General features: G+C 59.0%; 2 protein-coding genes and 1 long non-coding RNA gene across 5 annotated transcripts in view, besides 11 other annotated features; 1 reads left to right on the top strand and 2 right to left on the bottom strand.

Annotated features, from left to right (window-relative positions):
- On the top strand, positions 1994–21311 carry FTCD (formimidoyltransferase cyclodeaminase). Of its 3 annotated transcripts, none has more exons than NM_001320412.2 (15): positions 1994–2103; positions 3241–3424; positions 4538–4666; positions 5593–5681; positions 5836–6015; positions 7048–7185; positions 7323–7454; positions 11246–11307; positions 11626–11755; positions 11995–12156; positions 18650–18693; positions 18927–19065; positions 20239–20334; positions 20520–20658; positions 21079–21311. In NM_001320412.2, exons 1-15 carry the CDS (start codon positions 2050–2052, stop codon positions 21117–21119), a joined length of 1719 nt encoding a protein of 572 aa, NP_001307341.1. In that variant the 5' UTR covers positions 1994–2049; the 3' UTR covers positions 21120–21311. The 3 variants fall into 3 exon arrangements, with proteins under 3 accessions (NP_001307341.1, NP_006648.1, NP_996848.1); NM_006657.3 differs by having other exon boundaries at positions 20500–20588; NM_206965.2 differs by lacking the exon at positions 21079–21311 and having other exon boundaries at positions 20500–20794.
- Positions 2221–2924: an enhancer, noted in NCBI's record as "H3K4me1 hESC enhancer chr21:47574563-47575266 (GRCh37/hg19 assembly coordinates)". NCBI's record gives its function as "activates a minimal SCP1, AML or CMV promoter by ChIP-STARR-seq in primed H9 embryonic stem cells {active_cell/tissue: H9 hESC(primed)}" and the evidence as "EXISTENCE:reporter gene assay evidence [ECO:0000049][PMID:30033119]".
- Positions 2925–3628: an enhancer, noted in NCBI's record as "H3K27ac-H3K4me1 hESC enhancer chr21:47573859-47574562 (GRCh37/hg19 assembly coordinates)". NCBI's record gives its function as "activates a minimal SCP1, AML or CMV promoter by ChIP-STARR-seq in primed H9 embryonic stem cells {active_cell/tissue: H9 hESC(primed)}" and the evidence as "EXISTENCE:reporter gene assay evidence [ECO:0000049][PMID:30033119]".
- Positions 3629–4332: an enhancer, noted in NCBI's record as "H3K27ac-H3K4me1 hESC enhancer chr21:47573155-47573858 (GRCh37/hg19 assembly coordinates)". NCBI's record gives its function as "activates a minimal SCP1, AML or CMV promoter by ChIP-STARR-seq in primed H9 embryonic stem cells {active_cell/tissue: H9 hESC(primed)}" and the evidence as "EXISTENCE:reporter gene assay evidence [ECO:0000049][PMID:30033119]".
- Positions 4333–5038: an enhancer, noted in NCBI's record as "H3K27ac-H3K4me1 hESC enhancer chr21:47572449-47573154 (GRCh37/hg19 assembly coordinates)". NCBI's record gives its function as "activates a minimal SCP1, AML or CMV promoter by ChIP-STARR-seq in primed H9 embryonic stem cells {active_cell/tissue: H9 hESC(primed)}" and the evidence as "EXISTENCE:reporter gene assay evidence [ECO:0000049][PMID:30033119]".
- On the bottom strand, positions 4926–5959 carry FTCD-AS1 (FTCD antisense RNA 1). Its single transcript, NR_170989.1, has 2 exons — positions 5814–5959; positions 4926–5279 (listed from the first exon to the last, which is right to left on the bottom strand). It is a non-coding gene; the product is annotated as an FTCD antisense RNA 1 (long non-coding RNA).
- Positions 5039–5742: an enhancer, noted in NCBI's record as "H3K27ac-H3K4me1 hESC enhancer chr21:47571745-47572448 (GRCh37/hg19 assembly coordinates)". NCBI's record gives its function as "activates a minimal SCP1, AML or CMV promoter by ChIP-STARR-seq in primed H9 embryonic stem cells {active_cell/tissue: H9 hESC(primed)}" and the evidence as "EXISTENCE:reporter gene assay evidence [ECO:0000049][PMID:30033119]".
- Positions 15064–15358: a silencer, noted in NCBI's record as "tiled region #3768; HepG2 Repressive DNase matched - State 17:Gen3', and K562 Repressive non-DNase unmatched - State 7:EnhWF". NCBI's record gives its function as "represses a minimal TATA promoter and a strong SV40 promoter by Sharpr-MPRA in HepG2 and K562 cells {active_cell/tissue: HepG2 | K562}" and the evidence as "EXISTENCE:reporter gene assay evidence [ECO:0000049][PMID:27701403]".
- Positions 15064–15631: a biological region, named in NCBI's record as "Sharpr-MPRA regulatory region 3768".
- Positions 15111–15631: an enhancer, noted in NCBI's record as "H3K4me1 hESC enhancer chr21:47561856-47562376 (GRCh37/hg19 assembly coordinates)". NCBI's record gives its function as "activates a minimal SCP1, AML or CMV promoter by ChIP-STARR-seq in naive H9 embryonic stem cells {active_cell/tissue: H9 hESC(naive)}" and the evidence as "EXISTENCE:reporter gene assay evidence [ECO:0000049][PMID:30033119]".
- Positions 17189–17378: a silencer, noted in NCBI's record as "fragment chr21:47560109-47560298 (GRCh37/hg19 assembly coordinates)". NCBI's record gives its function as "represses an EF-1alpha promoter that drives an FKBP-Casp9 reporter gene in an ReSE screen in HepG2 liver carcinoma cells {active_cell/tissue: HepG2}" and the evidence as "EXISTENCE:reporter gene assay evidence [ECO:0000049][PMID:32094911]".
- Positions 20467–21240: an enhancer, noted in NCBI's record as "H3K27ac-H3K4me1 hESC enhancer chr21:47556247-47557020 (GRCh37/hg19 assembly coordinates)". NCBI's record gives its function as "activates a minimal SCP1, AML or CMV promoter by ChIP-STARR-seq in naive H9 embryonic stem cells {active_cell/tissue: H9 hESC(naive)}" and the evidence as "EXISTENCE:reporter gene assay evidence [ECO:0000049][PMID:30033119]".
- COL6A2 (collagen type VI alpha 2 chain) overlaps positions 24725–25783 on the bottom strand; it is a 34737-nt gene continuing 33678 nt past the window's right edge. The window contains exon 28 of the mRNA NM_001849.4: positions 24725–25619. Within this exon, the coding sequence (NP_001840.3) occupies positions 25021–25619 (599 nt within the window). The 3' untranslated portion in view covers positions 24725–25020. The remainder of the gene's footprint in view (positions 25620–25783) is intronic.
- Positions 25012–25516: an enhancer, noted in NCBI's record as "H3K27ac-H3K4me1 hESC enhancer chr21:47551971-47552475 (GRCh37/hg19 assembly coordinates)". NCBI's record gives its function as "activates a minimal SCP1, AML or CMV promoter by ChIP-STARR-seq in naive H9 embryonic stem cells {active_cell/tissue: H9 hESC(naive)}" and the evidence as "EXISTENCE:reporter gene assay evidence [ECO:0000049][PMID:30033119]".

Genomic DNA, 25783 nt, shown 5'->3' with positions numbered 1-25783 from the left:
TTTCTGGGCTTACCTGGCTCCTGTCTCATCCCAGTCCCCCTGAGTAGCCACGGAGGTGGGGTCCCTAAGGCCCACATGGTTGGGGTTCCATTAAGAACTTCAAGTGGGTGGCTCACGCCTGTAATCCCAGCACTTTGGGAGACCGAGGTGGGTGGATCATGAGGTCAAGAGATCGAGACCATCCTGGCCAACATGGTGAAACCCCATCTCTACTAAAAATACAAAAAATTAGCTGGGTGTGGTAGCGGGTGCCTGTAGTCCCAGCTACTCTGGAGGCTGAGGCAGGAGAATGGCGTGAACCCGGGAGGCAGAGCTTGCAGTGAGCCAAGATCGCACCACTGCACTCCAGCCTGGGCGACAGAGCGAGACCCTGTCTCAAAAAAAAAAAAAAAAAAAAAAAAGAACTTCAAGTGGGGCTGGGCTCAGTGGCTCACACTTGTAATTCCAGCACTTTGGGAGGCCGAGGCAGGAGGATCGCTTGAGCCCAGGAGTTTGAGACCAGCCTGGGCAACGTGGTGAGACCTCATGTGTATTTGTCTGATAAAGACATACGCAAGACTGGGTAATTTTTAAAGAAAAAGCAGTTTAATGGACTCAACAGTTCCACAATCATGGTGGAAGGTGAAAGAGGAGCAAAGTCACGTCTTACAAGAGGGTGTGTGCAGGGGAACTGCCCTTTATAAAACCATCGGATCTCGTGAGACCATTCACTATCACAAAAACAGCACCGGAAAAAGCCGCCCCCGTGATTCAGTGACCTCCCACCGGGTCCCTCCCATGACGTGGGAACTATGGGCTCTACAATTCAAGATGAGATTTAGGTGGGGACACAGCCAAACCATATCACCATGTCTACCAAAAATGGAAAAGTTAGCCAGTGTAGTGGTGTGTGCCTGTGGCCCAGATGCTCAGGAGGCTAAGGTGAAAGGACCTCTTGAGCCTGGGGACCAAGGCTGCAGGAAGCCATGATTGTGCCGCTGCACTCCAGCCTGGCTGACAGAGTGAGACTTTGTCTCAAAAAAAAAAAAAAGAGAAAATGATAAAAGCACTGCAAGTGGGCAGCGGCTGAACGTGGAGACAGGAGTTCTCCCTTCTGAGCACGGCCCTGGTGCCGCTGACTTCGTGGGGAGCCTGTAGTCAGGGGAGCAGCAGCTGGGGAGAGCTGGGGTCTCAGCTGCCTTCCCCCATATCGCACATGCCCGTCTCGTGTGTATCTGCACTCTCACACGCGTGTTCCCCTGCCCTGCGCTCACATGTATCTGCACTCACTCTCACATGCTTGCTTCCCCTGCCCCATGCTCACGTGTACCTGCACTCTCACACGTGTGCTCCCCTACCCCACACTCACATGTATCCTCGCTCACTCTCACACGTGTTCCCCTGTCCTGTGCTCACATGTATCCACGCTCTCACACATGTGCTCCCCTGCCTTGTGCTCACGTGTATCTGCACTCTCACGTGTTCCCCTGCCCTGCCCTCACGTGTATCCTCACTCACTCTCACACGCGTGCTCCCCTGCACTCTCCTGTCTGAGCTGAGCTGACCTCAGTTGGGTGCTGCGAGCCAGGGCCTCATGCTGGCCTCTCGCCCTCCACAGCCCCAGGGGTCCAGGCTCCTCCAGGAACAAACGCAGGCCCCACGGGCTGCCTGGAAGGCCTCCCAGAAGGCAGCACAGGGTCACGAGGGTCACCCGCAGTGGCACAGGGAGGCCTCGTCACGACAGGATTCCAGCCAGGCTGGCCTGATGCTCCTGGGGGTCCTCGGCACATGCCCCTTCACCCTGGCATGTGCTTCTTTTCCGGGAACCCACACTCTGGCTGAGTGGAGCCATCCCCTCTGGGTCAACAGCACCCGGGGTGGCTCTGCAGCACCCCACTCCGCGGCTGCACAGGGACCTTGGCCCCACTGCTCCTTGTGCCTTGCTGGTTAATGAGAAGCCGGTGGGGAGGTGCTGCCGGTGAGCGTATAAAGGCCCTGGCGGCGGCTGCGGAGCACTGGCCCTGTCCTTCCATCTGCCCAGAGAGGAGCATCTGGATCAAGGTGCTGGCCATGTCCCAGCTGGTGGAATGCGTCCCCAACTTTTCGGAGGGGAAGAACCAGGAGGTGAGGCCCGAGGAGCTGGTCAAGCATCTAGGGCTGATGGGGCAGCTTGAGTGGCTAAGGCCCAGGCCATGGAGGAGGTGGTGGGCTTGGTGTCCCGGGTCGTCTTCCCAGGATGGGCAGAGCCGCTGCCCGTGGGCCCCAAGGACATCCCGTGGCTCAGGGCCCTGGGGAGTGCCTGACCCAGGGGTGGGTGGAACACGACTGGTGCTTGTGGGGGCTGAGGCTTGGCTGTGGCTTCAGGGGCCTTTCGGGTGCTTTCGGTGGGGGGTTGGGCAGATCTCTGGGCCTCAAAGGGCCTTGGTGCTCCCCCCTGAAAATGGGGCTCCTGCCACTGACTGAAAGGGCTGTGTGAGGCCACACGAGGTGGCCCAGCATGGTCCCCACTGCCGCCTCTCCATCTCCACTGGAGTTAGCTTGCTGAGCCCCCACCCTGCAGCCACCATCCTCACTGGACCCAAAACGAAGTAGGCACAGAGGGGGCAGCAGGCCCCCAGGTCCGGCCTCTCGCCTTCCACAGCCCTGAGGTCCAGGCTCCTCCGGGAACAAACGCAGGCCCTAAGGGCCACCTGGAAGGCCTCCCAGAGCGCAGCACCAGGCCACAGGGGTCACCCGCAGGGGTGCAGGGAGGCCTCGTCATGCCGGGATTCCAGCCAGCACCAAGGCCCTGGGACAGGGCAAGATTTGGGGCTGAGCCCCTGCTCCCAGCAGTCCTGCCACCCGGAAGGTTCTAGGCCCTTCAGGCCCCTCCCCCATGCTGGTGATCTGTCCCTCCCCTGCTCGGGGGTGGGGGTCCCGGCCCCTCTGTGACCTGCGCCTGTGGTCACCTTCTTGGATCCCCGGCCACGTCTCTGGCATCTGTCTGTCGGAGCAGAGCCCGTGAGTCTCTCCTGGAGGCACCACCTGCAGCCCCTTGTGGGGACTGTGCTTGGGCTGGAGTGACTGTGGCTGCTGTGAGGGTTCCCGGGCGGCCGCTGTGTGCGGGCACTTTCGGTGGGAGCTCAGCTTGTCGGAGAGCCCCCAAAGGCTTGGCCCGCCTCCTCAGCCCCCATTTGTGTCTCGGGGTGCAGCCACCTCCAAGCTCCTTTTCCTTCTTTCAAACGGGGAGACTGAGGTGTGGGGGCCGGGCCTGTGTCCCAGGTGATCGACGCCATCTCTGGAGCCATCACACAGACCCCGGGCTGCGTGCTGCTGGATGTGGACGCAGGCCCTTCCACCAACCGCACCGTGTACACCTTCGTGGGGCCGCCGGAGTGCGTGGTGGAGGGGGCCCTCAACGCTGCCCGGGTAGCTTCCCGACTTATCGACATGAGCAGGCACCAAGGTGAGGTCTCTGGGCTCTCCTGTGGCTGCCGTGTCTCAGAATGTCAGGGCCGAGCCCTGTCCTGGTGTCCTGGGAGAGGGGGTAGGCCCGGGGCCCAGGCTTGGAACGTGGGGTCCAGTGGGGCTGGCTCTGGCTCTCCTAGGAGGACCCTGGAGTGTGGGGGTCATGGCCCCCATCCTGCCTGCAGGGCTGTGCTCTGGGGGACCCCCAGGTCGCCACGCTCCCACAGCACCGGGCCACCTTCACGGCTGGGTGGGGGGAGGGGGCCACGCCGGGGAAGGTTTGTGGGCCCCGTCCACCTGCCCACTCGTCAAGGGGGCTGAGAGCCAGTCTTGGAGCAGGCACTGGTGGGGGAAGGGCTGCCTGGAAGCTGACCTGTCAACAGCCCACAAGCCAAACACCTCGGTGGGCAGGCAGGGCCAAAGGTGTGTGGACACACGGGCGCTGGCCAGGGGCTGGGCTGTGGGCCGCTCATGAGAGGCCAGGGATCCACAGTGATCCTGAGGGGTGGATGGATGAGAAGCTTATCTCTAAGTGGCCAGCCCTGGGCGGTGGCGGCAAAGGCGGGGGAGGCTGGCGTCCCCTGGGGTGGGCGCCGACCCACGGCTTGGTGTAGCCACAGCGAGGGACTCAGCTAGTGAGAAGAATGCTCTGGAAACGCAGAGTGGATTCTCGGCTTCAGGGGAGGGGGTTGGGGTGGCCGGAACCCAGCCTCGAGCGCCCCCTCTTGGCCTGGCCGGGGCTGCCTGAGAGCTGAGCTTTGCACCCCTTTCAAAGTTATTTTTGTGAGTGTTAGGAGAGGGACAGGTTTATCCCAGAGATGCCAGACCACCCGCTCAGGTGCTGCTGCTCCTGGGCTGAAGGACCTCCCCCACACTGGCTGGGAGGACGGTGCGGGAACTTCCGTTGTCCCGGGAGGGCTGGTGCTGCCGCTGGGGCAGGGCTGGGAGCGCCCAGGGCCGGCCTCCTCCCTGTGGGTCAGTGTGAGCAGCTTGCTGGGTGTGTGGACTGGGGGCTGCCCAGGCCGGAGAGGACAGAGGGTCCGAGAACCCCGTGGAGCTCCCACCCGCTCCCACACCTGGCCTCCTGCCCGGCCTCGCCGTCTCTCTGCAGGAGAGCACCCCCGCATGGGGGCCCTAGACGTCTGCCCCTTCATCCCCGTGAGGGGCGTCAGCGTGGATGAGTGTGTGCTCTGCGCCCAGGCCTTTGGCCAGAGGCTGGCAGAGGAGCTGGACGTGCCAGGTGAGCGTGCCCCCCCGCCCCCCTCACTCTGCTCCCGTCTCATTGGTGTGGGTTATTGGCTCCTTCTGTATCCCCCAGTTCCCTGCCCTTGACTGCTCTTGCAAGGGCAGAGTGTTCCAAAAAGCCAACATGCAGAAGCGCAGCTCCCTCAATACCGAAATAAACGCAGCCTCGCCTGCGGCCGTGCAGGCCCGGGGCCTCCTCAGACTACACCGCAGAGCAGCTGCACAGGCAAACCAAGAGCCTTAAAGTCCACGCCTTCTAGAGCAGAATAATTTCACTTTGGGAAATTAACTAAATCAAGAAAATGATATGAAACAAACAGAGACAAACGGGACAAAGTGCATACCCACCCCTAGGCTGCACCAACCCAGCGCTCCTGGAAAGAAATCCCGAGGCAGGGACGTAGGTCACAGTCACGCCAGCGTGCAGGGCACACGTAACCCCCGTCACGGTCACGCCGGCATGCAGGGCACACGTAACCCCCGTCACGGTCATGCCAGTCCCCCCGAAGGAAATCCCGACGCAGGGCCCACGTCACAGTCACACTGGTGTGCGGGTTCACGAGTTTTTCCTCTTCTCTGCCGTTATATTTATGTGGTTGCTTGCGGTTCTGTTTATCATACAAAGAAAACAGAAGCATGAACGTCCTGCCGTTAGCATGTCCCACATGTTCCATCCTAACCCTGCAATTCGCCTTTTCAGGGCCCTCTGAGGAGGGGGTGGGCAGGGGTGCTGGCCCACACTGAGGGTCCACTGGGACCACCCGCATCCATCCAAGGCGGAGAACGGGCACTCCCCAGGAGAGGGTGCAGTAGAGGCCCATTCCTGGGTTAGGCTGGAGGGAGCCCCTCCACCTGCGTCCTCCAGGAACTGAGTCCTGGACCCCCTGCCGGTCCAGGCCTGACCGCCGGGCTCTCCTGCAGTTTACCTGTACGGCGAGGCAGCCAGGATGGACAGTCGCCGGACCCTGCCGGCCATCCGGGCCGGGGAGTACGAGGCCCTCCCTAAGAAGGTGCCCCCACCCCGGGCGGTCGGGCCTGGGAAGGAGGTGGACCTGCCCCTTTGTCCTGGCTGGGGTGGCTGGGCCGGGCCCCTCCTTCCCGGGACCCCGGGGGGCTGTTCCCTCCCGTGGGGGATGTCTCACCCCAGAGCGAACTTGCTCACAGCTCCAGCAGGCCGACTGGGCGCCCGACTTTGGTCCCAGCTCCTTTGTCCCCAGTTGGGGGGCCACGGCCACGGGGGCGAGGAAGTTCCTCATTGCTTTTAACATCAACCTGCTCGGCACAAAGGAGCAAGCCCACCGCATCGCGCTCAACCTGCGGGAGCAGGGCCGCGGGAAGGACCAGGTGACCCCGTTCACTGACCCCATGGAGCCCCACCCAGCCCCTCGGGAAAGGGTTAGAGGCTGAGAGCCTCAGGCGGGGAGGTCGGTGGGGATGGGGCACCGGCCGGACAGGGTTCGGCCTCCCACCTGCAGACCGGCCCAGCCTCCGCGTCCACACCGTGCGGGGACCGCGCAGGTCGGCAGGTCAGGGGCGGAGTGAAGCTGGGGAGCTCTGGCCTCCTGGGGATTTTCCAGGGAACGAGGCAGGACTTCCCTTTGTTAACATGTGGCAGCATTTCCATACTGCTGGGAAACAGCGACTTCCGGAGTCCCAGGTGCCCTCAGGGGCCCCCCATATCCCTCCAGATGCCTTGGGAGCCCCGACACCCCTACAAACCTTCAGGTGCCCCCAGGCCTTTCCCTCCACGTCTGCACAGCAGTGGTCACCCGGTCTGAGCGTCACTCCGGGTATAGATACCCGGAGAAAGCGGGGGGGACCACCTGCCCATCTGTTCCCCACTCAGAGACCCCGGTCCCACAAACAGCCAAGGTCCTGGGACCCGGCTTCCCGACCTGCAGACTCAGCACAAAAGCACAGGGACCTCTAAGTCCTGCTTTAGGCCCCGGCCAAGGGCAGAGGTCAGAGTCCCCCCACGTGGACTCAGTCACCCCGACAAGTGCGGGGCTGAGGGGACTTGTCGGGAGCGGAGCAGATGGGATGGGAGAACGGCATGGGGGTGCCTGGGGCCCCACCCCTCAGCATTCCCCCAACATCTAGGACACAGCGTGGCTGGAAGGCAGGGCCTAGGCTGGGCGGGGGCCTGCCGGGGTGGGCCTCCGGTGTCTGACCCTTGGGGCCTCCGTTTCCCTGTGGCAAGCGAAGTTTCTCTGGCCCTCCCCGGCCAGCTCAGTGAGGGACGGAGGAGAACCACAGCACCCACCCAGGCACAGGCTCCTCCCCGTCCAGCTGGGGAATGCAAGTGCCAGGAGAGACTGGCAGGGCCAGGCAGGATGAGCTTCCTAGTCCAGGCTGGGGAACGCTCTTCCTTTGCAGCCAGGACGTCTGAAGAAAGTTCAGGGCATTGGCTGGTACCTGGATGAGAAGAACCTGGCTCAGGTGTCCACCAATCTTCTGGACTTTGAGGTCACGGCACTGCACACGGTCTACGAGGAGACCTGCCGAGAAGCACAGGTGAGCCCGGGAGCAGCCGCTGCTGCTGTGAGGGGCGAGCCGATCTGTCCCGTGGGCAGGGCGGGGGCCCCACATCCTCCAGCCAGGGCCATTCTCCAGCCAGCCCCCAGGGGGTGACGCTGCCTGTGCCTTGGCAGGAGCTGAGCCTCCCAGTGGTGGGCTCACAGCTGGTGGGCCTGGTGCCCCTGAAGGCTCTGCTGGATGCGGCCGCCTTCTACTGCGAGAAGGAGAACCTCTTCATCCTGGAGGAGGAGCAGCGGATCAGGCTGGTGGGCCGGGCTGCCGAGGAAGGGTCGGACAGGGGCGTGCAGGGAGGGTGGGGAGGCGGTGGCGGAGCTCACAGCCCTGGGGCGCAGCTTCCCTCCCCCTCCTCCCCCTTCATTTTATTGACTTGTGTTCAGAAGATGAGATTTCACTTTTTATTTTGGACACCTTATTGAGGTTTTTTTGTGACCTATGATATGCTCAGCTGTGCAAATTCCACGGAGAGGACACCCCACCCTTTCTGCTTGGTCTTGCCTCCTGGGCCGGCCATGCTCCCGTGGAGGGGCCTGTGCCTCCTCTCACCACCTCCATCGGGGCGTCCTGCACCCCTGGAACTGGCAGCTCATGGATGTGTGTGCCTTTAGCTATGGGACTTAGATCCCCATCCACGGAGCGGCTCCTTCAGAAAGTGATTCCTTTTGTCTTGTGGACACCTGGGCCTCAAGGCTTCTGGAGTCTGGGTTCCACCGGGGCCTCAGGTCCTGCTGGGGTGTGGCAGCGTCTGCAGAGCCGCTGTCCGCCTTGGTCTGTCCTTTCACTCGAGGTCACTGCAGAGCCGCTGTCCGCCTTGGTCTGTCCTTTCACTCAAGGTCACTTTGTTTTAGGTGTGTTTTTCGCAATAAGCACAATCCACTTAACTGGATTTTTTGGGGACGTTTTGTCTGTTTGTGTTTTTACTGATTTAGCTCTCGTGACTTGTGGATTCCGTCCTTGTTTAGTCTCGGGCATATTTTCTTCTATTAGATCGCTGACCCAGTTATTTAGTTCTCTAGCTGTAGGACCCCGTGATGCTGCAGCAGCTTTGATGTCTTCTCTGCCTCCGTCTTTACTTTCTCTTCCACTCCTTTCCTCTGGATTCACAGTGGTTTTCCAAAACCCAGCCTCAATCATTGGTGCGTTTGTGGCCTTGTCTGTTGTATTCTTGGCTGTTAACAAAATTTTTTGTGACTTTACATTTTGTATAATTTCTTACAGAGAAGATACAGGTGGCCCTCCACTCCTGCCTCCCACCCATATTTTCCAAGTGCTTGCATTTTGCCCCATTTATTTGTGTATAATCATATTATATTTTTTTCCGGACTATTTAAAAGTTGGGTTGAAGACATTGTACTCTTTTACCCCTAATTTATTAAGGCTGTGTTTCTTAAGAACAGGGACATTCTCTTACATAACCACAGTGTAATTATCAAAATCAGGAAATTCAACACTGATACAATCCTAGTATCTAATAATCCTCAGGCCATAATCAAATTGCTTCAGTGTCCCAGTGATTCCCATCATAGCGATTTCTCCTCCAATCCGTGATCCAGTTCACGTAACACAGAGCACTGAGCCAACCTTTTCTCCTTTCTTCCAACTGTTCCTGTCTTCCTTGTCCTTCATTGACCTTGACATAGTTTCAAAGGACAGACTTTTAAAAGCGCCTCAGTGGGGACTAGTCTGATGTTGCTTGTGGCCAGATGTAGTTGTGCATTTTTATTTTAATTTAATTTGTTACTTCTTTTGAGACAGGGTCTTGCTCTGTCACCCAGGCTGGAGTGCAGTGGCACAATCACAGCTCACTGCAGCCCCAAACTCCAGGGCTCAGGTGATCTTCCCACCTCAGCCTCTCAAAGTGCTGGGATTACAGGCAAGGACCACTATGTAGTCCTGGCTAATTTTGTACAGATGGGGTTTTGCTCTATTGCCCAGGCTGGTCTCAAACTCCTGGACTCAAGCAATCCACTCACGTCAGCCTCCTAAAAGTGTTGGGACGACAGGTGTGCACCAACACGCCCAGCCAGTTACGCATTTTTGGCAGGAAAAGCATAGATGGTATTGTGTCCTCCTCAGAGACGCCGACTCCCCATGATGCTCATTTTCTCAGGGTGCCGACGTGGACCCGTCACTTGCCAAGGCGACCCCCTTCCTCCTGGACCCTTCACTGCAATGTTACTATTTTTCCTTTTGCAATTAATACGTTGTGGGGAGTACTTGAAGGTGTTTAAAGTATTGAGTAGGTAAATACCTGTTTATTACTGAAATTCCAGAGTTTTAGGAGCCAGTGACAGCATTCCAACGTCATCCTTTCTGTCTAAGCAGCAGCTGTCGCTTCTCCACATTTCCTTGTCTTCTTATGTGTGAGGCCCCGTCTGCTTTCCAGTGTGGCGTTTTGTCTTCTTCTTTTTTTTTTTTTTTTTTGAGATGGAGCCTCACTTTGTCACCCAGGCCGGAGTGCAGTGGTGTGATCTCGGCTCACTGCAACCTCCACCTCCCGGATTGAAGCAGTTCTCTGCCTCAGCCTCTCGAGTAGCTGGGATTACAGGCGTGTGCCACCGCACTTGGCTAATTTTTGTATTTTTTTTTTTTAGTAGAGACGGGGTTTCACCATCTTGGCCAGGCTGGTCTTGAACTCCTGACCTCGTGATCCGTCCGCCTCAGCCTCCCAAAGCACTGGGATTACAGGCGTGAGCCACCGTGACTGGCTGGGGTTTTGTCTTCTTTACCTGAAGGGCCCCATGCCTGCGGCCTGCACAGGTCTGGCTGTGCCCGTGGCTGCGTGCTGCCTCCTTGTGGTGAGGCTGCTTTGCTTTGTGTTGTGTGATTTTTGATTGCCAGTGCATGCTCTGTGGAATTTTATCTATGGTAATTCTTGGACACCTGGGTTCAAAGTTTTCTCCTCCAAGGAGGGTTTGTGCTGGCGCTTGTGGACACTGCCTCACAGGACCCCCTGAAGCTGAGTTTTTGGCTTGGAGTTCTGGAACCACACAAGAGTGAATTCGGTGTCGGGTGAGGCCTGCAGCCCTGTCAGGGTGGCTTGTGATTAGGAATTCCCAGGAGATTTTTTTTTTTTTCCTGCTTCACCCAAAGGGAAGGCAGGGACTGGGAAGTACCTCAACTGTTTCCTCTGGCGGGTGGCTGTTTCTAATTCATCCTTGGGGGTGTCACCTTCCAGGGGTCTCCAGTCGGACCCCACTCTGAAGGCCCCAGACCTCCCCCACTCATCAGGGGCTGCCAGAGAGGGGCAGTTGCCCCCAGGGCAGACCCAGCTCCAGGCTGGCAGGCCTTTCCGGACTCGTCTTTCTGGTCGTGTCTGGTTTCGAATGATGTCCTGTCTGCTAGCTTAGCCAGGCCTTTAAAATGCCCGGCATCTTCCTGGGGTTTTCTGCGGAAGGAGGCTTTGCCTTGTGGCTTGCTGGTTCTATGCCACGGGGAGGCACTCTCCACCCCGCCCGGCTGCTGTCCGTCTCTGTGGGGTGGGGTGGGGGTCGCATAGCCAACGTGTTCTGAATGGGTTTCCCAGAATGAATTCTAATCTTAAATGGGACTGTCACAACTTTATTTTGAATTTAGGTAAAACTCACTTTTGTGGCATACAAGTTTATGTGTGGGTGACTTGGGGCTGTTCCTCAGCTTTTGAGGACTTGTTAGATGTGAAGACTTGGTGAATTAAAATCTTTCCCGCCCGTCAGCGATGGGGCAGTGGTGCTGGGGGGCGGCGAAGCATGAGCAGCAGTTTGCTGAGGGGTCCCCAGGGGGCAACTCCTTTCTCTGGGCCTCAGGTTCCCCAAGGGCAACTCAGGGTGATGGCTGTTTCCAGAAGCCTGTACGGGGTGCCTGCTGGGGCGGGGCCCACAGGGCTCCTGGCGGGGCAGAGGTGGGGGGTGCCAGCCACGCCCCTGCCCTGCTCCCCGCAAAAGCACCTGTGTGCTCGGGGCAGGGGGCGGCTGCCGCAAGGGTGGGACCCGCGGGTTCCGAGGCTTTCCTGGTGGTGGAGACGCGCCGAGGCCGTTTCCACTCCAAGCCCCTTTTCCAGGTGGTGAGCCGGCTGGGCCTGGACTCCCTGTGCCCCTTCAGCCCTAAGGAGCGGATCATCGAGTGAGCCTCTGCCCTCCCGCCCTCTTCTCACCCCTCCCGGGCTCTGCCTCTCGGGCCTTGCGGGGCGCTGGGGTCCCTGCGTGGAGACCCGGCTGAGTCCTCCCAGCGCCTCCCTTTGGGCGCCTACTCGGCCTGCGCCAAGCCGGGGTCTGGGGGCTGAGGGGGGCACAGAGACCCCGGCCGGGTCCCCGCAGGTTCTCAGCCGAGTGGTCACCTCCCCGTGGGTGCAGACGGGCGTGGGGCCTGGGGCCGCCCCGGGAGGACTGCGCTCCCCCCACCAACCCCGGCCAGACCCGCTGAGCCGCGCCCACCCTGCAGGTACCTGGTCCCTGAGCGCGGGCCTGAGCGAGGCCTGGGCAGCAAGTCCCTGCGCGCCTTCGTGGGGGAGGTGGGTGCCCGCTCTGCGGCCCCCGGGGGCGGCTCGGTGGCGGCGGCCGCTGCGGCCATGGTGAGCGCGGGGGGAGGGGCAGGGGAGGCGCAGTTGTTGGGGGGAGGGCGGGGAGGGGGAAGGGCGCTGTTGGGGGGAGGGCACGGGGTGGGGAGGGCGCGGTGGGGCCGCCCTGGGTGGAGACGTGGGGGCCACACGGGTGGGACCCCCGCAGGGATCACCCGGGCCCCTGGCTCTTCCTGGGGTCGGTCCCGGGCCGTCTGGGGTCCCTGCGACCCCCACATCCACCCCTCTCGCAGGGTGCGGCGCTGGGCTCCATGGTGGGCCTCATGACCTACGGGCGGCGCCAATTCCAGTCCCTGGACACGACGATGCGGCGCCTGATCCCGCCCTTCCGCGAGGCTTCGGCCAAGCTAACCACGCTGGTGGATGCCGACGCCGAGGCCTTCACCGCCTACCTGGTGAGTGGCGGCCACAGCAGGGCTCCCCGGGCCCCACCAACAGCGAACCCCCAGCTGGGGCCCCAGTGAGAAGCGGGTCAGCCTCCGGCTGGGGAGGGGCTGGGGACCAGGAGGGGCCTGAGGGCGTCACCACTGGCCGCTGTCTGGACCTTGACCACCAGCACCGCCCTCACCCCGGCAAGTGCTTGGGCCCAGCAGGGTTTGAGGGTTCGGCCAGGGTGACCCCACATTCACAGGCCATGGCAGCCGGTACAAGGGAACAGGCCCCTCCCAGCAGGGGAGCCAGGAGCCCAGGCTTGGGGGACCCCACAGACCTGGAGCAAGGCAGGGCCCTTCTTTAGAAGCCTGCAATTCCAGGAAAGGAGGCCTGCAAGAATCTCAGGAACACAGTGATGAGTGCTCTCAGGCAGGCCAGAGACGACCCGTTTCAGCCACAGCATAAGACAGAAACACCATCTTCAGATAACACCCACTCAGGCAGGCAGTGACCCCACCTCCCTCCAAACGGGACAGGAACATGAGCATCAGCTGGCAGGATGTGCCCACAGATGGGTGCTGGGTGCTCAGAGCCTAGGGCAGGGGCCAGAGAGCCTGGGAAAGGGCAGTGACAAGGTCAGGATGCTCCCAAGCAGTTCCAGCCCAGGAGAGGACAGGAGGGAAGGGCAGAAAAGAGAGAGAGAGGGAGGGGAGAGAGAAGAGAGGGAGAGTGGGGAGAGAGGCAGATGGCGGAGAGAGAGAGGGAGGGAGGGATGGGGAGGGAGGGAGGGGGAGGAGAGGGAGAGGGGGAGAGAGGGAGGGGGAGAGACAGAGAGAGAGGGAGAGGGAGGGAGAGAGGGAGGGAGACAGAGGGAGGAGGGGGGAGAGAGGGAGGGGGAAAAGGGGAGAGAGGGAGAGGGGGAGAGAGGGAGGGAGAGGGGAGGAGGGAAAGGGGAGGGAGAGGGGGAGAGGGGGGAGAGAGGGGAGAGAGGGAGAGGGGGAAAGAGGGGAGGGAGGGAGGGGGGAGAGAGGTAGGTGGAGAGAGAGGGAGGGAGAGAGAGGGAGAGAGGGGAGAGAGGTGTAGGGGCCAGCCCTACAGGGTCTGTGGGTTTTTCTCCCCGTGTGTAGAGATGAGAGATTATAGAAATAAAGACACAAGACAAAGAGAAGAAAAGACAGCTGGGCCCGGGGGACCACTACCACTAAGACACGGAGACCGGTAGTGGCCCTGAATGCCTGGCTGCGCTGTTATTTATTGGATACAAAGCAAAAGAGGCAGGGTAAAGAGTGTGAGTCATCTTTAATGATTGATAAGGTCACGTGAGTCACATGTCCACCGCACAGGGGCCCCTTCCCTGTTAGGTAGCTGAGGCAGAGAGAGAGAGGACAGCTCACATCATTTTTTTTAATCCTCTTTTTAGAAAGATTAAAGACTAATACTTTTACTAAGTTTGCTACTGTTATCTAGAGGGCGGAGCCAGGTGTACAGAGTGGAACATAAAAGTGAAACAGGAGCATGAGCTCTAAAGCACAGCATCACAGGGAGACGATTAGGCCTCGGGATAACTGCGGGTGGGCCCTTTACAAGAGGTGGTGGACCAGAGTCTTCTTCAAACTCCCCTGGAGAAAGGGAGACTGCCTTTTCCGATCTGCTAAGTAGCGGATGCTTTTCTTTGGCACTGACACTACCATAGACCATGCTCCGCTTGGTAACGGGCGCCTTCCCAGACGCTGGCCTTACCGCTAGACCAAGGAGCCCTCTAGTGGCCCTGCCCAGGCCTGACAAAGAGCTCACACTCGTTTTTTGGTCACTTTTTAGCGTGCCCCTTCAACTCCTATCTGTGTATGGCCTGGTTTTTCCTAGGTTATGATTGCAGAGCAAAGATTATTATAATGTTAAAGAGTAATTGCTACAAACTAATGATTAATAATTATATATAATCATATCTATGATCTATATCTAGTACAACTCTTGTTATTTTATATATTTTATTGTACTAAAACAGCTCGTGCCCTCGGTCTCTTGCCTGGGCACCTGGCTGGCTTGCCGCCCACAAGAGGGAGATGGGGAGGGGGGGTAGGGAGAGAGGGAGGGGAGTGGGGAGAGAGGGAGGTGGGGAGAGAGACAGGGAGGGACAGAGTGGGAGGGAGGGAGAGAGAAACATGTGCCCCAGCCTCTGGAGCAGGGCGGTGGGGGCGCCTGTGTTTCTGGGAGGGCCACAAGACCCCCAGCCCTAAGTTGGGAAGTCTACCTTACAAGGCTGGGTGAGAAAGGCAGGCCCCAAATGCACGTGGAATCCACACACAGGCACAGAGGGAGCCAAGATGAGGGCCTCGGATAAACAGTCCCGGATTTGCAGAGGGAGTCGCCTGAGGGTCCCGTTCTGGTCCTGTGGAGAGGTGAAGCTGGCTGGGCTTCTGGGTCTGGTGGGGACTTGGAGAACTTTTCTGTCTAGCTAAAGGTTTGTAAACACACCAGTCAGCACTGTGTCTAGCTACTGGGGTGGGAACTTGGAGAACTTCTCTGTCTAGCTAAAGTATTGTAAAAACGCACCAGTCAGTGCTCTGTGTCTAGCTAAAGGTTTGTAAACGCACCAATCAGCACTCTTTAAAAACGGACCAATCAGCACTCTGTAAAATGGACCAATCAGCACTCTGTAAAGTGGACCAATCAGCAGGATGTGGGCGGGGCCAAATAAGGGCATAAAAGCTGGCCACCGAAACCAGCAAGCGCCAACCGTGGCGGGTTCTGTTCCAAGCTGTGGGGGCTTTGTTCTTTTGCTCTTCGAACTAAATCTTGCTGCTGCTTACTCTTTGGGCCTTCGCTACCTTTACGACCTGTAACACTCACTGCCAAGGTGTGTAGCTTCACTCCTCAAGTCAGCGAGACCACCAACCCACCGGGAGGAGCTAACAGCTGTGCTACGCGCCACCTGTAAGAGCTGTAACACTCGCTGCGAAGGTCGGCGGCCTCACGGGGAGGAAGAAACAGCTCCCGACGCGCCACCTGTAAGAGCTTAACGCTCACTGTGAAGGTCGGCGGCCTCACGGGGAGGAAGAAACAGCTCCCGACGCGCCACCTGTAAGAGCTTATGGCTCACTGTGAAGGTCTGCGGCCTCACCGGGAGGAAGAAACAGCTCCCGACGCGCCACCTGTAAGAGCTCACTGAGAAGGTCTCCGGCTTCACTCCTGAAGTCAGGCAAGACCACGAACCCGCCAGAAGGAAGAAACTCCGGACGTATCTGAACATCAGAAGGAACCAATTCCGGACACACTGTTTGCAGGGAGGTGTAGACGCTGATCACCGTTTCCAGTCATTTTAAAAATTCAGGTTTTATTTATTTACTTTTTACAGTAGATAGGCCCTTCGGGGGTTCACCCCGCCTTCGCCACAGCCCGCCCAGTGCTCGCCTCTCTTGCTGCCTCAGAGCTCCGCCTTTCCTTCCCCTCGCACACAGCCCCGCCCGCTCCCAGCCTGGCCCCTTGGGTTTTCCACTGGGGGAAGCACCCCCCTCCCCGGGGGGGCCCAGGGCACCCAACACCTGCTTGCAGAACCCTGCTTTCTGGGATGCGCTTCTCATTACCGGGCAGGTTAAGCATGTTCCGTACATTTAGCAGTGGTTTTTACTTCTTTTCCAGGAAGTTATCTGGTGAATATTTTTTGACTCCTTTTATCTTAGTTTCTCTTGGGGCTTTCGCTGCCTTCTAGTATTTTTTTTTTTTAATAGGGGAGGCAGGCCTTGTTCTGGGCTCAGCTTTCCCCGTTTGTTGTTCGTCTTTGGACTTTGCGTGTGGGGCTTCTGACAATGACTCTTAATCTTTATGTCGTGGAATGTGTCAATCCTGACTTTATATTTTTTGGGTCTTGTATCACAGTTCAAATGGCCTCCCCAGAACAAGATGATCTTTTCTATACTTTAATGGGTTGATGAACTTTAGACCCGGACAGGCATTTGAAGACAGTCATGAATTTAAGTATAAATATTAGAAATAGGCCAGGCATGATAGCTCACACCTGTAATCCTAGCATTTTGGAAAACCAAGGTGGGCAAATCCCTTGAGCTCAGGTGTTTGAAACCAGCCTAGACCACACACCAAGACCCTGTATTTACCCACCCAAAAAGAAAAAAAAAAAATAAAGCCAGGCGTGGTAGCAGGTACCTGTGGTCCCAGCTACTCAGGAGGCTTAAGTGGGGGTAGCTTGAGGCCAGGAGTTTGAGGCTGCAGTGAGTCGTGATTGCACCACTGCACTCTAGCCTGGGCAACAGAACGACACCCTGTCTCTAATGTAAACATATGTATATAAAACATAGGAACAATTTTATGTTTAGAAATTTAAAATAAGGTGAATAATTAAAAAACAAGTAGGAAAAGTACATAGATGAAAATGTAATCAAGGGACAGGAAGGAAACAAGACGTGTGGTTTAGAGAACCATGAGCGGGGACAGTGAGACTGTGCTAGGCATCAGTGGTCGAAATCAGTGGATTGGTTTACGCTCCCTGTGAGCCACGTGAAGGTGGACGGGGAGTGCTGGATTGGTTTACGCTCCCTGTGAGCAATGTGAAGGCAGACGGGGAGTGCTGGATTGGTTTACGCTCCCTGTGAGCAATGTGAAGGCTGACGGGGAGTGCTGGATTGGTTTACGCTCCCTGTGAGCCACGTGAAGGTGGACGGGGAGTGCTGGGTTGGTTTACGCTCCCTGTGAGCAATGTGAAGGCAGACGGGGAGTGCTGGATTGGTTTACACTCCCTGTGAGCCACGTGAAGGTGGACGGGGAGTGCTGGGTGGGTTTACACTCCCTGTGAGCCACGTGAAGGTGGACGGGGGAGTGCTGGATTGGTTTACACTCCCTGTGAGCCACGTGAAGGTGGACGGGGAGTGCTGGGTTGGTTTACACTCCCTCTGAGCAATGCGAAGGTGGACGGGGAGGGCTGGGTTGATTTACATTCCCTGCGAACAATGTGAAGGTGGACGAGGAGTGCTGGGTTGGTTTACACTCCCTGTGAGCCACGCGAAGGTGGACGGGGAGTGCTGGATTGGTTTACACTCCCTGTGAGCCACGTGAAGGTGGACGGGGGAGTGCTGGGTTGGTTTACACTCCCTCTGAGCAATGCGAAGGTGGACGGGGAGGGCTGGGTTGATTTACATTCCCTGTGAACAATGTGAAGGTGGACGGGGAGTGCTGCATTGGTTTACGCACCCTGTGAGGCACGTGAAGGTGGACGGGGAGTGCTGGGTTGGTGTACACTCCCTGTGAGCAATGTGAAGGTGGACGGGGAGTGCTGGATTGGTTTATGCTCCCTCTGAGCAATGCAAAGGTCGACTTTTGAAAAACATAAGGAGATATCTGTACCTTGCACCAAATACATAAGTAATTTCCAGATGGAATAGAAAACTGTATTTCCCCACCACCAACACAACCAAGCCTCACGATAAATCACAGAAAACAAAACGGACCGGGCGGGCAGGCCTCGGCCGGACGCAGATGAGGCCACCTAAAGCACACCCTTGGCCAAGATCTGCCCAGGGAGACCATGGACACCGCAAGGCCTGGGTGTGAGAGAGTGTTCGTAGCGCGAGTCGCAGCTTGAGGATGGCTGTCCTGCCTCCGCCTGCAACTGCTACAGACCCTTGTGCAGAGGACAGCCTGGGAGAGGGGCTGCAGCCAGGAGGCCTGGTCTGGATGATGCCCCAGCCAGTCAGGGAGACACTGGGCATTTCTGTTCCTCGATCACTGCTGTCGGAATGGTCAAAGGATCCAGATCTGGCTGGCGCCCAGGGAGCATTTGCTCTCATCCATGGTCGAGGGTAGGGGCTGTTGATGATGACTTTCTGGTGGAGAGTTGGCTGAATCTTCCAAGATGAAGTGAGCATATTCCCCACTGAGAACCCCTTGGCCAGGGCTCTGGCCACAGTCCGTGTGAGTAGGGCTCCCAGTGGGTCCTTGGAAGGTTGGTGTGTGGTCCCAGCTGTGCTCTTCCACACGGGGTGGGTCCGAGGAGCCGAGTGCCTTACGGTGACGCCGTGAGCTACACACATGAGCACCTAGGAAAGGCCAGTGCCTGTGACCGGGGCAGGGACATGAGGGGCTTTGAGGTTTGCTCTTGGTCCTTCTGCACAGTCTGAGCCTCTTATGCCCAGGCTTGGGGGCGGTGCAGCTGCTTGTGTTGGAGACACAGGCCCAGAGCCACTCCTGCCTACAGGTTCTGAGGGCTCAGGGGACCTCCTGGGCCCTCAGGCTCTTTAGCTGAGAATAAGGGCCCTGAGGGAACTACCTGCTTCTCACATCCCCGGGTCTCTGACCATCTGCTGTGTGCCCCGACCCCCCCTACCCTGCTCCTCCACCAAGCCTGATGCTAAGGGCTATAAACCACTGGCCCAACAGAAGCTTGGTTCCCAGAGAACTGGTCCCTGCCTGGGACATGCTCCTTGCTACAGCCCCTTGTGGGAGCTCAGAGGGCATGGCTGCTCCCCCTACGGTCCCTCGCCCAGTGGTTCTGTCTCTTTATGGCAGGAAGCAATGAGGCTCCCCAAGAACACACCTGAGGAAAAGGACAGGTGAGCCTGGAGGGCCGGCCGCACCGTGGGCCTCTGTGTCTGGGGAGTTGGTGGCCAGGATCCCGAGTACCTGGGTGCTGTGACGGGGCGTGGTTGGCCTGGGCGTGCTGGGTGTTTGGGAATGACTTCCCATCGCCCGCTTCTGCAGCCTGCTCAGCCCTGTTGGGGTGCAGTGTGTCCACTGCCTGCCTGTGTGTGCCGCTGTGCTCAGGCTCTCCTCTTGCTCCTTTCAGGCGCACGGCGGCCCTACAGGAGGGTCTGAGGCGGGCAGTCTCTGTGCCGCTGACGCTGGCGGAGACGGTGGCCTCGCTGTGGCCGGCCCTGCAGGAACTGGCCCGGTGTGGGAACCTGGCCTGCCGGTCAGACCTCCAGGTAGGGGGGCCCGGGGGACCCCAGGCCTCCTGCCGCAAAGCAGGAAGCAGCTGTTGGGGCTGAGTTGCTGGAGAGCACGGTGGTTGGCTGGGCTGAGCCAGGTAGGGAGACCTCACTTCACGGGCAGTTCCCGGGGCTTTGGCCTCCTCCAACAGGGCCGGGGTGTCCGCTGCCTTCTAAGATCTCGCTCACGGCGGCACCACAGACGGAGACCCAAATGTGTCTGCAGAGCCCACCCTGACCACTGTATAAGTGTATACTCCCCCAAGACCCCTTGTATCACCCCCACTGTCTTGTTCTAGAAAACACCTATGTCAGCCCAGGCACAATGGTTCTCGCCTGTGGTCCCAGCACTTTGGGAGGCTGAGGCGGGAGGATCACTTGAATAGAGGAGGTCGAGACCAGCCTGGGCAACATAGTGGGACCCTGGCTGTACAATAGATACATATGAGCCAGGCACGGTGGTGCCTGTGGTCCCAGCTACTTGGGAGGCTGAGGCAGGAGAATTGCTTGAGCACAGGAGGTCAAGGCTGCAGTGAGCCGTGATCACACCACTGCGCTCCAGCCTTGGTGACAGAGCAAGACCCTGGGTCAAAAACAACAAAACACGAGAAAGCACACAAGGCAGCTCTTGGAAGTAGATGCCTCACACTGACAGGGGCCACAGCTGGGCAGAGGGTCCCAGAGAAGGAGCGTCTCTCTCATGGGCTCAGCACTTTCTGCAGCTGCCCTAAGACCTCATGGTCTTCGGGTTCTTTATAGGAAAGACGCCTCTTTTCAGCATCTGGTCCCAGAGAAGTGTCCCCTCAGTCCCTGGGAAGTGTCCCTGGGCAGTGGGCGGGCCGTTAGCCTGAAGCTGCCTCCGGGGGCCCTCCAGGGGATGACTTTGTCTCTAGAACTGTGGTCCTGGTTCCTAGAGTGGCGGAGAGCCTCCAGTGTGACTGCTCCCAGGCCTCCTGTGGGGCTGAGCCCTGCTTGGATAAGAGAAAGTTTTGTTTTCTAAGCTCAGTGGTGGGGCTTAGCCCTCTGTGGGGCGAAAGCGGGGGCTGCGCTGGGCTCCTTGTGAGGAGGAGGACGAAGTCCGGCCTGTCCCAGAGCCCGTCAGGCAGAGACCCTCCTTCCGGCAGTTTGCTCAGCCTTGATCCATGTAGGGGCTCCCTGGGGTCCTTGCAGGTGGCGGCCAAAGCCCTGGAGATGGGCGTGTTTGGCGCATATTTCAACGTGCTCATCAACCTGAGGGACATCACAGACGAGGCATTTAAGGACCAGGTGAGCAGGAGGCAGGTGTGGTGCCCGGACCCCACGTGGGGGCCTGGATTCACAGCCTCAGGGTGATTGCCGACTGGCTGTGGGCAGTGGGGGTCGGAGGTTGCTGCCCAGCAAGCTGGGCTGAAGACTGGAACTACCAGACCCCTCTTTCCCTGTGTCCATCAGATCCACCATCGTGTTTCCAGCCTCCTGCAGGAAGCCAAGACCCAGGCTGCACTGGTGCTGGACTGCTTGGAGACCCGGCAGGAGTGACGGTGCGGGAGGCCTCTCCGGGCTCTGTGGCCCCTCCCTCGCCCATCCCCAGAGGGCAGAGCTGTGACCTCGGTGGGGACACAGCTTGTTCGTGTGGGGCCCGGAGGGTAGGTGGGCAGGCAGCGGGGCATCGCCTGGGAATGGAGGCGCTGGCAGGGACAGAAGGCCCCTAGTCCCATGTGACCTCCAGTAAAGTTTTGGCACCAAACCTGTGTTGTGTGTTGGCGGTTTTGGGGGCAGGGCTGAGAGCTGAGCTGCGGGTCTTGGGGCAGGAGCAGGACATATGGTCAGTGGCCCATGGGAGCCAGGGTTGGAGGGAATGGGGTTGCAGCGTGAGGAGACAGACCTCAGCGCCAGGGTCCCCAGACACCCAGTGCAGCCCACAGTGGGCAGGGTCACAGGTATTCAGAGGACCTGGGGTTCAGTGCAGGTCCCTGGGCTGTGAGGCCCCTTGTCTGAGGGAAAGGGGCCCTGGTTCTGTGCATGGGACAGAAACCCCAGGGACAGCAGGACCTTCGACGCTGGAAGGATAGCCTCGCTTCCCAGGTGCAGCTCCCGGCAGGTCTGGACAGTTCCACAGAGCACGGTACTGGCCCTGTCCTCAGTTCCCGTCCACCCTTCAACCAGTGGCTCCTGGGAGACTTTTCCTCCCTGCCTCAGCTCCCTGCCCAGCCAGCCTCCTGTCTCCAGAGAAGTTCTCCATTAAAAAATAATTTAGCAAATCACTATACTCTCAAATTACTTCTAGATGGACTATTACATGTGACAGATGATGTATGAATGTATTTGTTAGTCAGCACTGCAGGATATTAAAAAGAAGATTACTGTGTCCTTGAGTGAAGCAGAAAACTCAAATGCCTTATTGGAGAGATTTCCCATTCTGAAAATAGAACATACTTGTTCATGAAAAAAGATGTCATCATCCAAGACAAATGACAAGAATCCTACAGGGAGAAAAAACACCCAAGGTGTGTGTGGGTACAGGGCCATCATCACTCAGCATGAAAGGTTCCTACATATCCGGCCGGCAGGGGGTGACAGGGAGGGGGTGCCGGGGAGGGGAGACTGGGAGGGAATGCTGGGAGGGAATGCTGGGAGGGGAGGCTGGGAGGGAACGCTGGGGAGGGGAGGCTGGGGAGGGGAGGCTGGGAGGGAACGCTGGGGAGGGGAGGCTGGGAGGGGAGGCTGGGAGGGAACGCTGGGGAGGGGAGGCTGGGAGGGAATGCTGGGGAGGGGAGGCTGGGAGGGGAGTCTGGGAGGGGAGACTGGGGAGGGGACTCAGGAGGGAAGGCTGGGAGGGGACATTGGTGAGGGGACATTGGTGTTGGGGATGGTGAGGGGACATTTGTGAGGGGACATTGGTGTTGGGACGGTGAGGGGGCATTGGTGTTGGGACCATGAGGGGACATTGTGAGGGGACATTGGTGTTAGGACCGTGAGGGAACATTTGTGTGGGGACATTGGTGTTGGGACAATGAAGGGGACATTTGTGAGGGGACACTGGTGTTGGGACCATGAGGGGACATTGGTGTTAGGACCATGAGGGGACATTTGTGAGGGGACATTGATGTTAGGACCGTGAGGGAGGAGACATTTGTGAGGGGACATTGGTGTTGGGACCATGAGGGGACATTTGAGGGGACATTGGTGTTGGGACCATGAGGGGACATTTGTGAGGGATGCTGGTGAGGGGATGCTGGTGTGGTGTAATTGGTGAAGGGCCAATGGTGAGCGGCAGTTGCTGGGTGGAGCTGTGGGTAGAGCCTGTAGGTAGCTGGAAGTCCCTTCCAGTGGGACTGACGTTCCTGCCCTGCAGGGTCCGAGGCTGCACACGTGGGAGCTGGCACGAGAGAGGGGAGCGCCCTCTCCCTGCAGAGGCCCTGGGCAGCTCCTGTGTAGCTCCTGTGGGTGGAGCCTGTGCACCTGCAGGGGCCTCTGCCTCCCTCCACCTGCGGGACCCGCGGTGTTCACCTGGAGCACAGAGATCTGAGGGCTGACACTCAGGGCGCAGGGGCTTAGCAAAACAGGCGGGCCTCTTCTGCATCTCCTGCTGGCATTTGCGTAGTTTTTTTGTGGGATGGGAAAAGGAGGAAAGGAAGAGAAAATAACTGACGTACTCCCCTGGAGCTGCAGGCTGTGTGGTCAGATGACAGAGCGGTGGAGTATGAAGAAAAGAGTGAGTCTTTTCAAAGGACAACAAAGTTTCAGGGTATCCAGAGTGAACTGCATTTCCCCAGTTTCACATGTTGACTCCTGACCCTGACCCTGACCCTGACCCTGACCCTCACCCTAAACCTGACCCTCACCCTGACCCTGACCCTAAACCTGACCCTCACCCTCACCCTCACCCTCACCCTCACCCTGACCCTAAACCTGACCCTGACCCTGACCCTGACCCTAAACCTGACCCTCACCCTAAACCTGACCCTCACCCTCACCCTCACCCTCACCCTAAACCTGACCCTCACCCTCACCCTCACCCTCACCCTCACCCTGACCCTAAACCTGACCCTCACCCTCACCCTGACCCTGACCCTGACCCTAAACCTGACCCTGACCCTAAACCTGACCCTGACCCTAAACCTGACCCTAAATCTGACCCTGACTCCTGACCCCTGACCCCTGACCCCTGACCCCCAACCCCAACCCCAACCCCTAACCCTAAGCCCCAGACCTCTGGATGTGACCTTGTTTGGAAATGGGGTCCTTGCAGATGCAGTGAGCTCAGGTGAGATCATCCTGGAGCAGGGTGAGCTTGGTCCAGTGTGACTTGGGTGAGGTTATCTTGGAATAGGCTGAGTCCTGGTCCAGTGTGACTCCAGTGAGGTCATCCTAGAGCAGGCTGAGCCTTGGTCCACTGTGACTCTGGTGAGCTCATCCTAGAATAGGCTGAGCCCTGGTCCAGTGTGACTCGGGTGAGCTCATCCTGGAATAGGCTGAGCCCTGGCCCAGTGTGACTCGGATGAGCTCATCCCAGAGTAGGCTGATCTCTGGCCCAGTGTCTCGGGTGAGCTCACCTTAGAGCAGGCTGAGCCCTGGTCCAGTGTGACTTAGGTGAGGTATTCTAGAGCAGGCTGAGCCTTGGTCCAGTGTGATTTGGGTGAGCTCATCCTAGAATAGGCTGAGCCCTGGCCCAGTGTGACTCGGGTGAGCTCATCCCGGAATAGGCTGAGCCCTGGTCCAGTGTGACTCGGGTGAGCTCATCCCGGAATAGGCTGAGCCCTGGTCCAGTGTGACTCGGGTGAGCTCATCCCGGAATAGGCTGAGCCCTGGTCCAGTGTGACTCGGGTGAGCTCATCCTAGAATAGGCTGAGCCCTGGTCCAGTGTGACTCGGGTGAGCTCATCCCGGAATAGGCTGAGCCCTGGTCCAGTGTGACTCGGGTGAGCTTATCCCAGGATAGGCTGATCTCTGGTCCAGTGTCTCGGGTAAGCTCACCTTAGAGCAGGCTGAGCCTGGTCCACTGTGACTTAGGTGAGGTATTCTAGAGCAGGCTGAGCCCCAGTCCAGTGTGGTGACTTGTATCCTTATCCAGGAGATCAGGAACCCTGGGATGCTGGGGAGAGGCCGGGGCAGGCCCTTCTCTAGTCCTCCTCTAGCCCTCCAGAGGAAGCATGGCCCGGCTGATGCCTCCAGGCCTGTGGCCGATACTGGTAGTTGTTCAAGCTGTGTCTGTGGTGCCCTGTGATGGCCACCAAGCCCACTCCTGTCAGGTCAGCACCTGCCTGTGGAGCCTCTGGTTCACTGTGGGGCTCCTGAGCTGAGCCTGAAGGACCCTGGGGTCTGAACAGCAAAAACTCACTGAGATCTCCACACAGAACACAACAGGCTCAGCACCTGCTGTCTCCCCGTCTAGTGTTAATCATGCGTCCACCCACAGAAGACCCTCAGCCATGGTGACACTTCTTAGAGCACTTTGGGCCTGGCTGGGGCTGGAGGGAGAGTTTGCTGATCAAGGCTGTGGGGTCTGCACAGGCGGGGTCAGCCAGCACCTGCAGTTGATGTCCTAGGAGGTCAGGGCTGGGCCCGGGGGAGCCATTGACCCTGGTGGGCGAGCGACAGCTGCAGTGTTTCCCTCCTGGCCACAAGACACCTTTGAGGTCTCTCCTGCGCACAGAAGCTCGCAAGCAGGCACGCAATGGGTTCAAAGCCTTTATTGGGTCAGGGCTTGCTCCAGAGCTCAGGGGCCAGGTAGGTCAGGAGCCTTGGGATGGCTGCAGGGGGAGGGAGGCCGGGCAGCCTGCGGAGGGCCTGGGGAGACCTGGGGCTGGGCGGGGGCCGGGGCTACGGGGACCCCGTGGGAGGAGCTGGAGAGGTGCAGGCCCAGGGCGTCGTCCGAGTGAGCAGCGGTGCTGGCCGTGTGGGACCCGGGCCCGCTTAGCACCATGGACGGGGTGGGCTCACGACCCTCGACTGCGGGGCCCGGGCGGCGGCGCTAGCAGATCCAGCGGATGAAGCGGTCGAAGAAGCCGGGTTGCGCCAGGCTGTCATAGTCCTTCTCGTGGAACACGGCGGCGCGGTCACCCAGGCTGAGCGTGGTGAGCACGTCCATGTCCACGTCGCTGCCCAAGGCCAGCACGGTGGGTACCACGTTCTGCTTGCGCATGGAGTGCGCCGACTCGTGCAGACTGTCGTTGCCCGTGACGCCGTCCGTGAGGAACACGAAGGACAGCTCTGCGTGCCTCCGGGCCCCGCCACGCGGGCTGCGCACGATGGCATTGATGGCGTGCACCACGCCTGCGCCCACGTGCGAGAAGGAGTTCAGGTATTGTGTGGTCTCCAGCGCCTCGTGGATGGCCGTGAGGTTGTGGCTCAGCGGGAAGGCCACCTGCTGCTCGCCGGGGCCACCAAACTGCAGCAGCGCCACGCGTGCGTTGAGAGGGTCGTCGTCCCTCCGGGCCAGCGTCAGCCGCCGCGCCACCTGCTCCACGAAGCGCCGGGCCTTGTGGAAGTTCTGCTCACCCAGCCGCTCGGAGCCGTCCAGCAGGAAGACGATGTCCACGGGCCGCTGCGTGCACTGTGCCACGGACAGCTCTGTGGGGAGACGCAGGTGCGGGCTGGGCGGAGGGGAGGTGGGCAGGACCGGGCAGGTGCCAGCCCCGCACCTGTGCCCTTCCATTCGCACCCTGCCTGCAACCTCACAGACCACTGGGCTCTGCGGGGGCGTTTCTGCAGGGCAGCCCTGGGTGTGGGTCCTT

The sequence above is a fragment of the Homo sapiens genome, chromosome 21 (assembly GCF_000001405.40).
Source record: "Homo sapiens chromosome 21, GRCh38.p14 Primary Assembly".
Lineage (NCBI taxonomy): Eukaryota > Metazoa > Chordata > Mammalia > Primates > Hominidae > Homo > Homo sapiens.
This window is presented reverse-complemented; position numbering and strand designations above follow the sequence as displayed.